Source organism: Homo sapiens, chromosome 12 (assembly GCF_000001405.40).
Source record: "Homo sapiens chromosome 12, GRCh38.p14 Primary Assembly".
Lineage (NCBI taxonomy): Eukaryota > Metazoa > Chordata > Mammalia > Primates > Hominidae > Homo > Homo sapiens.
Window position 1 is genome coordinate 99,091,364 of NC_000012.12, and position 17,006 is coordinate 99,108,369.

At 40.2% G+C, this 17,006-nt stretch overlaps 1 protein-coding gene and 1 long non-coding RNA gene across 52 annotated transcripts in view; one reads left to right on the forward strand and one right to left on the reverse strand.

The window, feature by feature from the left end:
- Positions 1 to 17,006, reverse strand: part of ANKS1B (ankyrin repeat and sterile alpha motif domain containing 1B) — a 1,250,151-nt gene that overhangs the window by 356,578 nt on the left and 876,567 nt on the right. The gene's annotated exons all lie outside the window — the stretch shown is intronic.
- LOC101928937 (uncharacterized) lies at positions 1,996 to 13,648 on the forward strand. Its single transcript, NR_110095.1, has 5 exons — positions 1,996 to 2,257; positions 5,653 to 5,755; positions 5,999 to 6,115; positions 8,431 to 8,497; positions 13,160 to 13,648. It is a non-coding gene; the product is annotated as an uncharacterized LOC101928937 (long non-coding RNA).

The following is a 17,006-nucleotide window of genomic DNA, read 5'->3' on the forward strand; positions in this document are numbered from 1 at the left end:
TTAAAGTATCGAGCAGGATTTGGTGATATCATAAATTATAAATGTAATTCACTTGAGATGTGTTCATGTAGGTTTTAGAATTATGTGTATTTGTAAAAGAGTGCAAAATAATTTATACAGTAATTTGTACTGCCTTTGGTCAAAAATTTTATAGCTATGAGAGAAGGAGCCTATTCTTCATTTTTAAGGATGCTAACCCAGAGCTCCTTCAAGTAAGAAGAAAAGTTGATGTGAACAAAACTTTTTTGTATGCTCTTACTTCTCTCCAGATGCATATATCTGTATAAATATAAAGCTGATGAATACCTACTGTCTTCCTTCAACTTTCACACTGATAGCAGTTGGTGTTCATTAGTGTAAAGTAAATAGCACACTTACTGTGTCAGGCACTGTTCTAAATACCTTCCATATATTACTTTATTTAATTCTCACAATAACTCCTATGAGGTAGGTAGCTTGTTCCCATAGCTGATAGGAGACTTTCTCAAGACTTACCCTATACTACCTCTAGCAGGAATCATGCAGGAGATAAAAGGTTGAGTTAAAAAAACATGGTTAGATCCACACCATTTATATTTTTACTTCAGAGTCATCTGAAATTCACATTTGAAAGCGAGTGTTCCAATGCATTTATGTTTGATTTCACAGTACCGAAGCAACAATGAACCCTCTCTATGGAAGAGAACTTGGAGAGCTGTCTGGCCTAATCTTCCCTGCTTTGCTCCAGTCCTTTCTGTTCACTGAATCCTGGAATCAGGCTTGGCAGGGACCTGGGGGGTTTCTAGTTTCTAGTCTAAACGTTCCCTAACTACCCACAAAGCTTCAACTTCTCTTTTGAAGTGTGGTGTCTCACTGGGTTGACACCATCCCCAGAGAGGTAGGGAGGATATTAAATGCTTTAAATGGTCTTTCCCAGCAGCTGAGTCTGAGCAGGGGGTGCGGCTGGGGTTGGGGTGGCACCTCTGTCCTACTCTTTTAGCTCCCACTGTGGTACAGACCAAGTGTTGCAGGAGAGCTATCTGAAGAAGAACGTGCCAGAAGCGGAGATGAAAGGAAAACAGTTAGCAGCTGTCCTGTGTCCTTTTGTAATCACAAGCTGTGAAGCTGAAAAAAAAAAAAAAAAAAAACTTCCTTGGGTAGGCTGTACATAATCTTGGCAGATATCTGAGTGTTGTTCTTCTGTCTAATATGCTGAACGTTTCCCAGTGCCTCACAAGAGAAAAGTGAGACAGGGTTAGGTGAGTTTGGACACCTTGCTCCGAACAGGCAGGGAACATGGCGCCCTTGTACGTTCATCAAGCTCTTGCAAATGCCCTGTCACTGTAGATGCTGATGCAGAGCTCCAAAAGGAAGGGCTCCTCTGCAGGAGAAGCAAAAAGAATTTGCTCCTGGGTATTCCCAACACAGCCACATATAATGACGCAGAAAGAAGTACCTAAAAAGATTACCAGCCATTACATTCACTGTGTAGCAGGTACTTCACCCACCTTATTTATAAACCTTACAGCACTCTTGTAACATAGGTGGTATTATTTTCATCTTATAGAGGAGGAAACTGAGTCTCAGAGATGTGACACTATGGAGTCAAGTTCACAAGATAAGTATAGGATGGATCTGGGATCTGTGTTTTATTTGGTCAGACTCTGATGCTGATGCTTCCTTCACTACATAAAAAGAACCAAATGTTTAGTAGGGGACATTTTCTGGATGGAGATTCCGGTCCATAGATATGTAACGTTACCAAGAAGTTACTCCCATGACCCTATTTTCACACACACAAGCTTACATCTATATTTACAGACCATAGGGAGTGACTGCCAGAGTTTCTCCAACACATTGAATTTCACATAAATTATTTATCTTCTGAAAGGTCAACTGGTTAGTTCTCCTTCTAAACTACCTTAGTGTATTCCAGAACCAAACATGTTAATCAAAGTGACCCAAGGTGTTTGTGGCTAAAGCACTAACTAACTTGCCATGTTTCCTGCTGTGAGGCAGGAAGTATCAGCATGGCATTAGGTTGTTGTGAGAGATTCAGCTCTTCTGCAGTGCCTTGTCAAACGACCTGACTGGTCAACTGGGAAAATGAAGTTCTCAGGGCCAACATCGTATTTGGGTGTTTTTCTTTTAGGTCTGTATCAAAGCCAGATTTAAGAAGGAGGGTGTCTACAAATGAACGAAAGCAGAGGATGTCTGGGGACAAGCTAAGGACATTTGTGTCCCACACTGCATGTATTCTGAATCCAGAGAAAAGAGAGTGAGTTGCAGTCTCCTGAGAAGGCTATCCAGGCTAAGGAGCCTGTGATGGTGAAGGTGGATAATTTAGCCCTCTGAGAAGTGTAGACCTGTCAAAAAGGAGATTCGTTAATTCTTCAAAGATATGGTTGTCTTCAAAGAACAGACATCCCCAGATTTAAGGATGATGGGGTCTCTTGACACTGAGAACTACATTCAGAAATAGCCAAACAAGAGGAAAGGAGCAAAGAGGAAGAGAAAGGGAGGGAGGAAATGAGAGGAAGTGTTTATTCTTAAGGGTGAAGGTAGTGGTGAAGGGAGTAGAATTTCCTGATAAAATACAGAAATTCAAATTTAAGTGGCATCATGTATTTTTATTCACTTAATCTGGCTGCCTTAGACAGGAGGTCACTGAAATCTGGAAATGAGCTGGCAGAGTCCAGTCCAGAGCTACCACTGAGGCAGGCATTGTCATTCATTCATGTAGTCAGCATTTGTTTGTTCAATAAATATTTTTTGAGCATTTATTATGTGCCAGGCACTGGGCTGTGGTTGTGAGATACAATGAGATCAGGACAGACAAGGTCCCTCTACCTTTAGAATTTACAGTCTAGTGGAGAAAAAGGGAAACAGTGGAATAAAAAAATAGATAAATAATTATTTAGCAAAGTTTTACTATATACCAAGTATTTACTGTATTAGTAGGGACTATTAAGCACTTTGTCTTGTTTGTTGTTCATGATAAATTCTGATGTTAGTATATACAATTATTATCCTTATTTACAGATAATAGACTAAGAATTGAAGGCACAGAAAAGCTGATAATTAGTCTAAGGTCACACAGGTAGTAAAACTGACATAAAGGGAATCAATGGAGTTCTAAAATAAAAAATAAACAAATAAATAACAACGGAGATCTATGTTAGAAAGACTGGTGAGGAAAGTCTCTCTGAGAAAGTGACATGTAATTAAGACCTGAGGGGATTAGAAGGAGCAGCCTAACTGTGAGAAGAGCTGTTACAAGGACATTCCAGGCAGAAATAACAGCAGGTGCAAAGGCACTGAGGTGAGGAAAAAGGTGAGGCATGTTTTAGGAACAAACAGAAGCCTACTAAGAATAAAATTTAGTGACTGAGGGGGACGAAGACCTGGGAAAGAAACGCAGGAAATAAGACAATACAGAGACTTGCAGACTCTGATAAGGACTTTGATTGTATTCCAAGTGCAATGGGAAACATTGAAGGAAATATACTAATTTGCATCTTCAAATATACTCTGGATTCGGTGTGGAGAATGGATGGAGAAATTGGGAGGTATGGAAGTTGAGCTCGACAATCAAAATTGAAATAACAGCCTAGAAACATAAATAATCTAAAGGAAATGTGATGAAATATGACCTTTTGGGAGACTATGGGAATGGGTCTCACTGGGGGGGGGGTCAAGTCTCCAAGCCAAATGCATCTTTTATTTGAATCAAAGAGAAAAGCCATATGACAAGGATGAAATCAGAATAGTCTTTGATAAAGGTTCTATGTGGATACAACTATGAATAAAGATTTAGCAGTACCTACGAAAATGAAAATGTTCAGACTCCATGGACCCAGCAATTCTGTTTCTTGGTCGTGGCAGACATTGCTGGGAGGCTGAGTCCTTTCCCTCTCACTACCTCCCACTGCAGAGGCTGGATAAGCTAAAGTTCTCAGCTTCCCTTTAAAGCAATGGTTGAACATGTGACAGAAGTTGTCATTGGGGAACTTCTGGAAAAGCTTTTGCTTTCCTAATGAAAAGGGAAAAATTCACCTGCTACCCTTCTGTGCCCATAAGAAAGGACTCTCCTCAGGATGAGTGGCTAAACAGTTCAGAGAAGGTGACAGCGATGGGCCCACAGTCCTTGGACCTCCAATGATAGATATCTCCATTGGATACCTGGAGGCAGGCAAGGATAGGCCATGGAAGGGTTAGTTCTGCATAAAAAACGTTATTTAAAGCTCTCTCCATCTTTTGCATCTAAGTTGCTCTGACTAGTGTTTATCTGTCAGTGAAAATAATGATGGGGATGTGTACTGTGGCATGTAATTAATAGAGGTTATAATGGAGGCAACAGGATATTTACTATTTATTTTAGGCAGACAGGGGTATGATAACATAAAGAATAGCAGAGAAGGGATACTAGGAAGAATGAAAGTTATCAGATCCAAGTTGGGGTGTGTGTGTTTGTGTGTCAATTATAGCATTGCCTCTTCTCATTTTGACTTAACGTTGTGAATTTCTCATAAAAAGATGACTTGAAGGAATTTCTTTACTCTGGATTTTGGTTTCTATTAAAAACTAAAACGGATGCAAAATTGCCAAAGTGCTCATGGGACTAACAGGTTCTAAATCTGGGAGTGGGTTTCAGCTTATAATTGAAGATGACAGGTGTCCAGAGATTGTATGAAGTTATGGTTCTAAAGGAAGTACAGTTTTACATAAACCTGGTATTCTACAGGAAAAAATGTTACTCTTGAAATCCAAACACATTATAATCATAACAGGGCAGAAACAATAAGAACATTTAGGGGTATGTTAGGTTGACCTTAGTGTGTAGCTCTTCCAGGAACTCTTGAGAAGTCAGAGTTTTTATTTAGGTCCTTTGTAATCTGGAATGCCTTTGGTGGGCAGTGAATGGCGATTATTGAAAGAGTTGACTGATAGAATATTCCTGACTTTTCCCCACATTTATTTTTAGTTTTGGTTTTGGTCTTGAAGACATTTTTCTTAAGATGTCTTCAGGAAAAAAAAAAATTTTTCCACATTGAAAACTTTGTTTTGGCTTTTTCGAGTTTAAAATTCGGTGATGGGAAAACTTGCTCACATCACAACAATGGGATTAAGTGTGAGGAGATGATCGCTGTGGGCAGACAGGCAGGAGGCTAACCCCACGAAGGGCTAAACTAAAAGCTGAGTAAGAGCTCCACTAAGAAGAGCTCTTTGAACTGTTCTGGGACTGGCTAGGGCCACTAATTGTCCTTGGGTTGTATATGAAGGGAAAATTTGTATCAGGGACACAAATATCCTTGTCCTTTGTATAGCATCTATATCATGAAGGATATTCTCATTTTTTAACTCCATTTTCTTCACTGAATAATATTACTCAACCTGAAAGAAATACAGGGGAAAGAAACGGAGGGACATGCATTCTCACAGTGAATGTAATTAAATGTCCTCCTGTCTAGTTTTTCAAGTTAAAGGTTCTGAGTTTTGTTTCCAGAATATTCAACTGGTACTAAAAGCATCATGAAGTCCCTCATATTTAATTAAATGGTGCATTATTAAAAGGGGGCACACTCTATCTAGGTTAAAGAGGTGATAAACAGCTATAGAATTTCATGTTTCTTTCTACTTGGTATTATATGTCTTGTTTCCTTTACTGGACAGCAAACTTCTTGGGAGAAAGGATCATGCCTGAAGCATCTTTGCATCTCCCCTAACATCTGTTTGCTAAGTGTTGAATAAAATAAAAGCTTGAAAGAATGAATCTGTAAGTAAAAACATGAGTTTTTTAGATTTATTAAAAAACATTTAGTCTAAAGATCACTAAGTAAGTTTATAGGAAAAGCACTGAAATTTTGAGCTGGAAATTCTAATATGCAGGATGCCTGATGTGTTTTTCCCCCCTAATTGAAAGAAAGATAAAGATGGAATTGCTGGTACACCATAACACCAAAATGTTCTTAATTTTTTTTTCAGTTTTGCAAATTCTCATGATTTGATTTTCATCCAGGACTGTCAGTTGAGACATCTGATAATCTAAAAGCATTCAGAGAATTAGGATCCCATATGGCTCGAAAATATTTCCTATCCGGCAGGAAAAAGAGAACATACCATGAAAATAATACTGGTATATCCTTCAATTTATGTGTACAAGGAGCATAAATAAATTTAAATCATTATTCAAAGTATAATAATTATAATGATCATAAGGTTGATTATAACAACCAAAATAAAAAGAATATACAGTTCTTCATAATCATGTGACATTATAAAAAATCAGAAGTATACTTCAAATCAATGATAGTAATAGAGTTGTGTTTGTCTAACAGAAGCAACAGTCATTAGAAATGAGCACGGGATTAGGAGTCCTGGCTTATCACTAATTAACTGTATAAATCTGAAAAGGTAATTTAACTCCCTTAGGTCTTAATTTTCTCAACTGAGCCATGAAAGGGCTAGACCAGATGTTCCCTTTTAACACGGCATCTGTTCTGGAGGTTCTAACAAGGAGTACATCTACTCATACACTCCTATTGCCTGAAGAATAATTAATTCTTCTTGCTTTGGGGGAAATGTCATTTTCTTCAGATAAGTGTTCAGTATTGAGAGGTGCACTTACATAATGGTGAGGGAGCAAGGAGACCTGGGCTTAGTCATCTAATTTCACCAACAAAATTATTACTAACAATAACAATAACGGCTATTCATTGAGAGTTAACTGCAGGCCAGACACTGTGCTTTTATCCTCTGAACAATTCTATAAAATAGATATCGCTATTATCATCCCCATTTTACAGATGAGAAAATGGAAGCATAAAGATTACTAGGAACTTGGCTGAGATCACACAGTAAGTGGCAGAGCTGCTTTGGAAATGAAGATGGGTGTTGGAATCAAATTCCCCTCACCCCACTGGCTTCCCATAGCTTTGACAAGTGTCTTCTGCATGGAATTGCCTCAGAGATCTGATGGATGGAGTCTTTCTCTGCCAGCCCAGTCGTCTCCATGAACCTCCTTTCCTACAATTTCTACCCAGGGATTGAGGATTATTAATAAAAAGAAAAGGAATTGAGTGCTCCTGGGTTCACCTTACAGCTCTGCACTTTAATAGCAGTGTGACTCAGGATCAGCAATCCTCTTTCTTTGTCCGTACAATGGGGATAACACTAATGCTTATCTTTTAAGGATATGGTGACATAATGTTTATGAAGTTGCTTTATAAACTCTAAAGTAAAATTGCTAAAAATAAAGCATGCCTGCTAGGAACTACTTTTTTTTTTTTTTTTTTTTTTTTTTTTTTTTTTTTTTTTTAGAACATAGCACTGTAAATCTTCTAGTTTCATGTTGTTTTTGCTGGAAATAGTCTATTCTGAAAGAGGCAGCATGTGTGATGGCAGAAAAATTCAGGGTTCCCCCCCCCACCCCCAGCTCTGCCATTTACTTAGCTTTGTGGCCTTGGGAAAGTCACTTGATCTGGCATCCCACAGGGTCCCATACTCTACAGGCCCTGCATTTGGGGTTTAATTTCTGTGGTTGCTGTTTTGAAGTTCTTCCTAATTTTTTTCTTTGAGTTTGTGTGTTATAAGTGAAGTCTGAAGGGACAACGGAGCATGCGCTGGGCTTGGCACCTTAGATCATGGGAGGTCTTGCTTCCTGCTGCATCTCCAGGATGGGTTCTGCCAGAGACCCTCTTCATTGGTCTCTCTATCTTTAGTCCTGCCCAACCTCCCTTTCTCTGTTGAGTCCTAAAATTGCTGCCATCCTTCACTCCTAGCAGGAGTCTGGGTGCCGGCAGAGGGAGGGCTTGGGTGGGTCACTCAAACCCATGGCACCTTGGGGCCGAGCATGGCATCGCCCATCCCTGCCCTAACAGGTAGCAGCATTCCAAATCAAATGGGTGACCAGCCAGAAGCTATCCCAATCCAGATATCAAGCATGTCCTGATGAAGAGATTTAAAAATCCTTTGCGGGGTGGGGGTCCCCTGTCTGCTATGGATGGAGGTAATGTGGCACTGGATAAAAGAGATGCCTGGTTAGATTTTCTGGGACCCTGCTCTATCCAGGACACTGTGGTAGTCAGGAGAGTGTTGGGGGCCTGGCAGTGGGGCACCTGTGCCCTGCATAGGAGGCACGGTCCAGGGTGCTTGCATGGGGCTGCACTCTCACTACAAGTGTCTTGTGCCTTGGAATGCTCCTTTGGCTAGCTCCATGCCTGGAGCATTCTCCCTCCTTCTAACCGTCCTGGGTTTGGCCTGTATTTGTCTTTTTTGACCAGATCAAGGCATCCTTTGGATAAAAACACAAAATATAAACTGGGGAATTTGGTATTCCTTCATAGGAGTTAAATGCTTTAATATTTTCATCTAAAAGTAACATTGCACAATATAAAAATGAATGACAAAATTCATGCTAATAACATAAAATTTTAATGTTTCTTTACACAGAACATTAAATAGTAAACAAAAAACACCATGACAAGTCTAAAGAGAGACCACAAAAGGAAGGAAAAAGGTTTGTACGTATTTTTAATGGCACTCTTTCCCCTGCCTTTTGAATAGGGGGCCCCACATTTTCATTTTGGACTGAGCTCCACAGATTATGTAGCTGGCTGCGCTCCCAGGATGTAAGGTTTGCATAATCACCTGGTCCTTGCTTCACTTCACAGGTATATTTGCAGCAGCTCTGCTTGTAGTTGGTAAGCTCAGTTAAGCAACATAGTTGGACTGACTTAAGAATAGCTTACCATCCAATGATCTGTGGCTTTATCTTTACCTTTCCAAGTGGGTAGAAAAGGAGTAATGGGAGCCATTCCCTTGGAAACTACTGAGGTCATTTAACCCTAACAAGGATGATGCTTCACTAGATGTTAATTAGAGATCATTTCCATTTTTAGTTTTAGTTCTAGAGGTTGCCTTAAAAATTATGAGGGCAACAGGAAACACTGAACTTGCCTAGACTTCTGGGGCTTCTTTATTCATTGACTTATTCATTCACCCATTCAATCATTCCCTCCTTCACTCACACTATCATTTCACAACATTTACTGAAGTGCTATCATGCTGCCCACACTTTAAGTATGGAGAATTCAAAAGTGATTGAGGCAGTCTCTCTCCTAAAGAAGCTCAAAGTCACTGGGGGAGGGGTAAGGTGGAGGTGGGATCAGAAGGCATATAAAGAGATTATTTTTATTATTGTTTTGAGACAGAGTCTTGCTATGTCACCCAGGCTGGAGTGCAGTGGCATGATCTTGGCTCATTGCAACCTCCACCCTCCAGGTTCCAGTGATTCTCCTGCTTCAGCCTCCTGAATAGCTGGGATTACAGGCACATGCCATCACGCCCAGCTAAGTTTTGTATTTTTAGTAAAGATTGGGTTTTGCCATGTTGGCCACGCTGGTCTCAAACTCCTGACCTCAAATGATCCACCCGCCTCAGACTCCTAAAGTGCTGGGATTACAGGCGTCAGCCACTGTGCCTGGTCAAAGAGACTATTTTTTTGATGCAGCACATACAATGATTATGGCTGTACAGAGAAAAGATTCCTGAAGTACACAGCTTTGGATCAGGAAAGACATTTTGGGAAGCGGAACATCTCTGCTACCTGCTAAATGATGAGGAAAAGTTAACCAGAATACAGGCAATGCTTGAAGCAAGAGAGAGAAGGCACTGCGTGGATCGGTTGCAGCATGAACAAGGGCAATGAGAAAAGAAACGGTATAGTGAGAGTGAAAACCAGAAAGCAGTTTACAGTTAACCAGGTGGAAGAAACAGGGAGGGAGAGACCAGGTAGCCAGCCTTGTAAGCGATGATGTGAAGTGGGCTTCATCCTGTGGTTCTGGGCAGTTGGCAAGTTGTTTTATGCCTGGAAGGGAGATGGCTGGATTTACAATGTAGAGAGCAAACTCCAGTGGCTATCTGAAGTGTGGATTTGAAGGGCTAAAACTGGAGGTTGGAAGCCCATTTAAAGAGCTCTTGCAGCCATAATACAAGAGACAATGAAGATCTGGACTAGGACAGCAGCAGCAGGAATGGTGATGTATTAAAGAAATACTATAGAGCCAAAACTGACTGAACTTGATTATTGATTAAATATAGGTATTGGTAGAAGACAAGTGTTAAGAATAACTGTCAGCGCTCTTGTTTGGGTAACTGATGGTTAAGGAGTCAGGTGAGAAATAGACTTTCAGAGGAGGTAGAGGGTTTGGAGGTACAGTGTTTTGTTCTTGTTTTTGAGACAGAGTCTCACTCTATTACCCAGGCTGGAGTGCAATGGCATGATCTCGGCTCACTGCAACCTCCACCTCCCGGGTTCAAGCAATTATTGTGCCTCAGCCTACTGAATAGCTGGGATTATGGATGTGAGCCACCATGCCCAGCTAATTTTTGTATTTTTAGTAAAGACAGGGTTTCACCATGTTGTCCAGGCTGGTCTTGAACTCCTGATCTCAGGTGATCCACCCACCTCAGCCTCCCAAGGTGCTGGGATTACAGGTATGAGCCCCTGCGCTCAGCCTTGAGGGGCTGTGTTCTGTTTGGGACATGCTTAGGGGCCTGTGGAACTGGAAGGAGGGGATGTTAGCAGACAGTGAGAGGAGGCTGAAGTTTGGGGAGAGGTTCAGGCTAATGTTGTAGATTTGGGGATGATCAGGGCTGAGGTGGTAGCTGTATGAAATGGATAAATGCAGCACTGAGAAGAAAGGGGAAATGCCATGAGAGAAAGAAGGAAAAGATGAAGTTAATGAGGAAAAGAGGGAGAGTGTGTCGTGTCAGATGCCAAGAGGGTAACGAGTTTCATGAATAAGGATATGAACCAACTGTTAAATATGGCAGAGAAGTCTTAATGGAAGTGGAAAAGGCCCTTTGGTTTGGTAAAATACAGCAGCTCATGAGGACCCCAGGAGGAGTTTTCCATTATGGGTACAAAAGCCAGATTAGAGGATTGTGAGACAAAAGGGGTGGAGACAATGAATGTAGACGATTGTTTTGAGAAATCTGAATGAGTAAGGGAGGAGAAAATGTGCAGCACAGCTGGAGAAGGAACAGGATCACAGGAAGTTGCTTTATTTTCTTCTTCTTCTTCTTCTTCTTTTTTTCACTCGTAAGAATAGGAGGTGACTGGGTGCACTGGGTCATGCCCGTAATCCCAGCTTTTTGGGAGGCTAAGATAGGCAGATTGCTTGAGCCCATGAGTTCGAGAACAGCCTAGGCAACATAGGAAAACCCCATCTCTACAAAAAATAAAAAAGTTAGCTGGGCATGGTGGCATGCACCTGTAGTCCCGGCTACTCCGGGGGCTGATGTGGGAACATCATTTGATCCTGGGAGGCAGAGGTTGCAGTAAACTGTGATCATACCACTGCACTCCAGGTTGGGTGACAGAGTAAGATCCTGTCTCAAAAAATAAAAAACTAAAAAGAATAGGAGACTCTTAGCTGGGCATGGTGGTTCACACTGTAGTGGTGGCCACCTGGGAGGCTGAGATGGGAGGGAAAATTTTTTGAGGTCAGGAGGTTGAAGCTGCAGTGAGCTATGATCACATCACTGCACCCCAACCTAGGCGACCGATAGATATGTGTTTTGAAAACATAACGCTCAGAGCAGGTTGAAACCCTGTCTCTTAAAACAATAATTGAAAAAAAAAAGGAGACACTTAAGCAAGTTTGCAGGCAGCAGGTAAAGCACTAGTGGAGAGGGAAGTTGGATCCACAGGAGAGGGAAAGGAAAACTGCTGGAGGTAGGAGGGGTAGGCCTGGGGTGAGATAAAGGGCCTGGAAGAGGGAAGCAAGGATGGGTGAGGTGTAGAATCCTTACTCCTGAAGCCCTTCACTGCTGATACTTCTGCTATCCTTGGCATGTGACAATTCCTCAAGCTGAGGTCAATGCCACTGTGTCAATTGCATAGCAATTCTCTTTCTTGGGGATTCCTATAAAAACTCCCTCATAACAATTCCCCAAGTCTCTAGTCTTACCTTGACGCCCCTCAGTCTTACACAATTCCTTGCTATTTTGACTAGTTTGAGGTTACCCATCATGAACTCCTTCGACATCTCTCCTATCTTGATTTATATACTCTTCTTGGTCTCATTTTTTCCTGCAATATTAAAAATTCTACTGATCTTTCAAGGTCCAACTCAATTGATATCCCTTATCTATGTCTCACTTTCATCTTACATATACATTTTTAAATTACTTGATGTCTTTTATGTTATCTTATAAGCTAATTTAAATACTTCTTAAAACAAGGAAGGGATTCAATCAACCTATCAATCGTCATGATACCCTTTCCTATCTCATCTTCTTTTCATCTTCTTCAACTTTTTGACTCATTTTTATATCATTCCTCTATGAAACTATTAAACCCCTTAAGGGCAAGTAAATGTTTTTTGCACCTGCTCTAGTATGACAATACATTATACATAATACCTACCTACTACAATTAATAAATTGTAAGCTCCTGGAGGACAAGAATTTAGGAGTTAGCTAGCTAGATAGAGATGAATACACATGCAGAGATATATTTACATTCTCTCAAGTATACCAATTTAATCTAATACTTACTATATACTTGCTAGCAATTAGAGATATATAAAGATAAATAAAACAAAACACAGTCTCTGTCTTCCAAGGGTGCCAATCCAGTGTGGCAATCAGAGAATGAGAGGGCTTGAATGACATGCTGATAAAATTGGACTGTATTCTGCTAGGTTTCTTGCAGAACTTAGGGCAGAGGATATTAATAGATATGTGTTTTGAAAAGATAATGCTCAGAGAAGGATGAAGGATGAATTTGAAAAGAATGAGATTGAGGGTAGGCAGATCTATGAGGGGGCTTTTGCAATAGTGTAGATGACAGATAATAAAGATCAAGTGAGGGCAAGTTGGTTACAGATGAGATATTGAGTGTATATGCGTGTATGTGTATGTTGGGGGAGTGAGGTTGTGGTGCACAAGAATAAGTGTCCAGAAGTTATTTGCTAATCTTACTTTTTAAAAGACATTAAATGGTAAATAGTAGTAATAACTATAGCTTATTACATATCGTGTAACACATTCCTCTAGACTGGCCTTAGGCAATATTGAGATCTGTTCCATTTCACCACTTAGGATCCTCTAGGCCCGATTTTGGCACTTTATTCTATATGATCGGCTATTTGTTCTTCTCTTATTACTTCAGGTCTCAAGTTTTGATCATCCTATGAGCCCATATATCCTTCAGAGCAAGACAATGTGAATAGGCATCGTTGCACTTGGTAGAGGGTTAGGCAAATAGTGGATGCCAAATAAATCCTTGTGGAATTGAATGGTATTACCTGGAGTTCCCTGAAGGTTGTACATCCTCTTACTCCTTGGCCTTTGGAACGTCCTTCTCTATACCTGGAATTCTTCCTCTCTCTCTTTACCTCCTCTGACTACTGTCTCTTTACCTCACTTTGACCTTCCTAGTTCTGTTTATCACTTCCTCTAAGAGTTGTTGCTTGATGCCCCTGCACTGGGTTAGCAGATTTTGCTAAGTGGTCCACAGAATCACCTACTTATGTGTTTCTCTGCCAGCTCTATAAAGACAGACCAGACTACCTTGCGGTAATTTGTTCAGTATTTTATCCCCAGGTTGAGCACAGCACCTGGCATACAGTAGACATTCAGTAAATATTTGTTAAATGAACATGGTTTTGTGGGGTTTTATTTGTAAATCTGAACATTTTGAAATTTGAATCTTCAAATAGCTGGACATAAAGTGCTAGATCCATCCAGACGAAAGAAATAATGGGAGACCATCTAGAAAAGTATTTTGTTCTTTATGCTATTAAATTCAGTAGAAATTAGTTATTATATTTTTTGAGGACTGTTATGCAATTAACACTCTGGACAACATGAAGACAGTTCAGATTTCACCTTTCTATCCTGCCCCCCAAGGACATGCAAAATATCTGCTTGGGTACCCGTTTTTTCATGTGTACACACTAGCATCTTCAGTTGATAAGTTCCTGTGGGGCAGGAACAGTAAACTTCTCAGAATTAGAAAGCAAAAGTGACAGCAAAAACACGACAACATCAGAAAGCCAGATTCTATGTCAGAAAGTCTTAGGAGTTGTAGCTTTAGTGTTCTGCAGACAACCCAATGTCACAGGAAATACTAATTCCCTTGCTCTGGGGCATTTATTAAAAACAAAATTTTTTGGGAGGCCGAGGCGGGCGGATCACAAGGTCAGGAGATTGAGACCATCCTGGCTAATATGGTGAAACCCCATCTCTACTAAAAAATACAAAAAATTAGCCAGGCGTTGTGGCGGGTGCCTGTAGTCCCAGCTACTCGGTAGGCTGAGGCAGGAGAATAGCGTGAACTCGGGAGGCAGGGCTTGCAGTGAGCCGAGATCATGCCATTGCACTCCAGCCTGGGCAACAAAGTGAGACTCTGTCTCAAAAAAAAAAAAAAAAAAAAACTAAAACTAAAACAAAATTTTACTTCCTACTGCCTGGTACCATATTATGCAGTAGAGACAGAGGGGTTAAGGAAATCAGGCATAGTCCTTGTTCTCATGTAGTTTGTAGTTAAGGAGTGAGAGAACTGGCAGTGACCTGATTTTGAAGAGGCTGATTCAGGTCAAGACCCAATTTTGAAGCTGGTCTCCAACAAGAAGAGTGGTTTCTAGGAATATAGCTCTGCACAAGCAAATACATATCCCTTAGACAGTCTGTGACATGGAGTGAAAAACCCTCCCTGACAGATCCTTTACTAGGGATCTCTGCAAGGGCTCAGATCTCTACTTCAATAGAAATGCTCATTGGTACTATCTGAGGACGATTTTTCCAAGAGGCACAAGGAGATCAATTACTACTGGCAGCCTAATTTGCAAGATAAAGAAATTTCCCATTATTCTAGTATCTTCGCAACCACAGTCTACTTCAGCATCATCAGCCGACATCATGGCATAGTGGAAAAAAATTTGGAATAGCTAAAAAGTCACAGATTAGAAGTTCTCATAGCTGAGATGCTGCTATGTGCTTCTTGTTAAAATCCAGGGTTAGGACAAGGGTCAGAGGATTCTTGTCCTTCTACACTTGAGTGGCCTACAGCCATGTATTCTTCTAAATCATGTTTTGAATTTCGTCTTGAAAGATAATGTTTTAAGAGTGCTAAGCTTATATACTCATACAACAGAAATAATATGTGTGATAAAGTTGGGCAAGAAGTGCTTTTAAAGTTGTCGGTTTCTAAAGGTGTCTTTTTTTAAATGGGTACTTAATAGTTATACCTATTTATGGGATATATGTGATATCTTGATACAAGCATACAAAGTGTAATGATCAAATCAGTATCCATCATCTCAAGCATTTATCATTTCTTTGTGTAAGGAACACTCCAATTCTACTCTTTTCATCATTTTGGAATACACAAGAAATTGTTAATCATAGTTGCCTTATTGTGCTTCAAAAAAGTTGTCTTTTAGGTTGTCTTAAAATTTGGTTACGAATTGATAACACTAGTCAGAATCATGATTTATATTCTGTAGATCATTTTTTTCCATTTAGCTTTCAGTTATAATACCTCACAGAATAATAAAGCTTGATAGGTTAAGTGTCTTGGTCCTGACTATCTTGAGAATAATGGTTGGAGCAAGAACTATGGTCCAGACGTCTGCTCTAGCTGCAATGTTTCCCCTCCCTACTCCATTACACCACAATGATGGATGAATGACGGATGCTGCAGCAGAAGTAATTACAGTAAACTCAAGATATAAAAACAATTAATATAGTGAAAATATATAAATTAATAATAAATATAAAATACATGCATCTTTAATATTAAGATGTAATATAATTTATAAATTAATATAGCAAATACAGTAATATCTAATGGACAGTGACCCCATCACCCCACTTTTACACGTGCCTCTAAGAGCCATTTCTTATTTTTGAAGGGGAGCAGCTACACCCTCACTCTTTGGGTTGCGGTGCCGTGTAGAAGTGATGAGAATGGGAAACTGATACACTCCTGCACAGAGAAGCCAATCTGAATGCCAGATGATTAAGTAGAAACCTCCACCATGCTGCCTCAGACTTACAAATGAAGTGCAAATTAAAATGTTAGATAGACATACTCAACAGCCTGTAACATCACAAGGACTGTCTTTGGGGTATCCATTTCTATAAAAAGAAAATCTGGCATTCCTTTTTGGAACATTAGGCCAAAGTAGAGGATAATGAGAACAGAAATGCCTTATGCAGTCTTAATAATCTTTCTACTCAGAGGATTCAGTGGAAACTAGTAACTAAAAAAGATTAGCCTTGCATCAAGACCGAGCTATCCAGAAATCGCCCGGCCTGGGATGCAGATTCAGTCACTTAAGTGAGTTGTAACACAGGCTCACTTGTAGGTTTGCCACAATTTTCTTGCAATTCAGTTCCTTCCTCTGTCAGGCTGCAATAATGAGATGAATTCCTGCAAGAAGTACTCCCAGAAAGACACAGGGAGGTCTGAGTAGATAACTAACACAGATATCTAGAGAACAGAAGTGCTAGACGAAGAGAGAAATAAACACACACAATAATTAAAACAAAGATTTTTTTAAACCATAGCGACATTACACTTATCTCAATCTTTAAAATCCAGGATATCTATATCTTTGTGTATTTCTCACTGAAACTTTCCCTGGGCCTCCCAGGAAGAACATAAAGAATAAAGAATAGGTTCATTTTCTTACAGATTAAGAGATGTGAGGCTCAAATGACCTTATCCTGGTAACATAGCTACATTACTGCAAGAGCAGCATCTTTAATCCCTATGATTCCTACTCCAGTCACTCTTTACCAGTGAACCATCAAAGTAGGTGATGATGCTGAAAGAGGTACAGAAGATTCAGCTTGTGAAGATAAGCCGAATGACAGAAAATGCACTTTGTGCAAACCTCCATGCAGTGATCACAATGCATTTTAGCCAGTGGTTCAGTTCTCTCTCTGTCCAACTAGACTATGTACCTTGAGGATAGAAACCATCTGTCCACCTAATGTCCCCAGTAGTC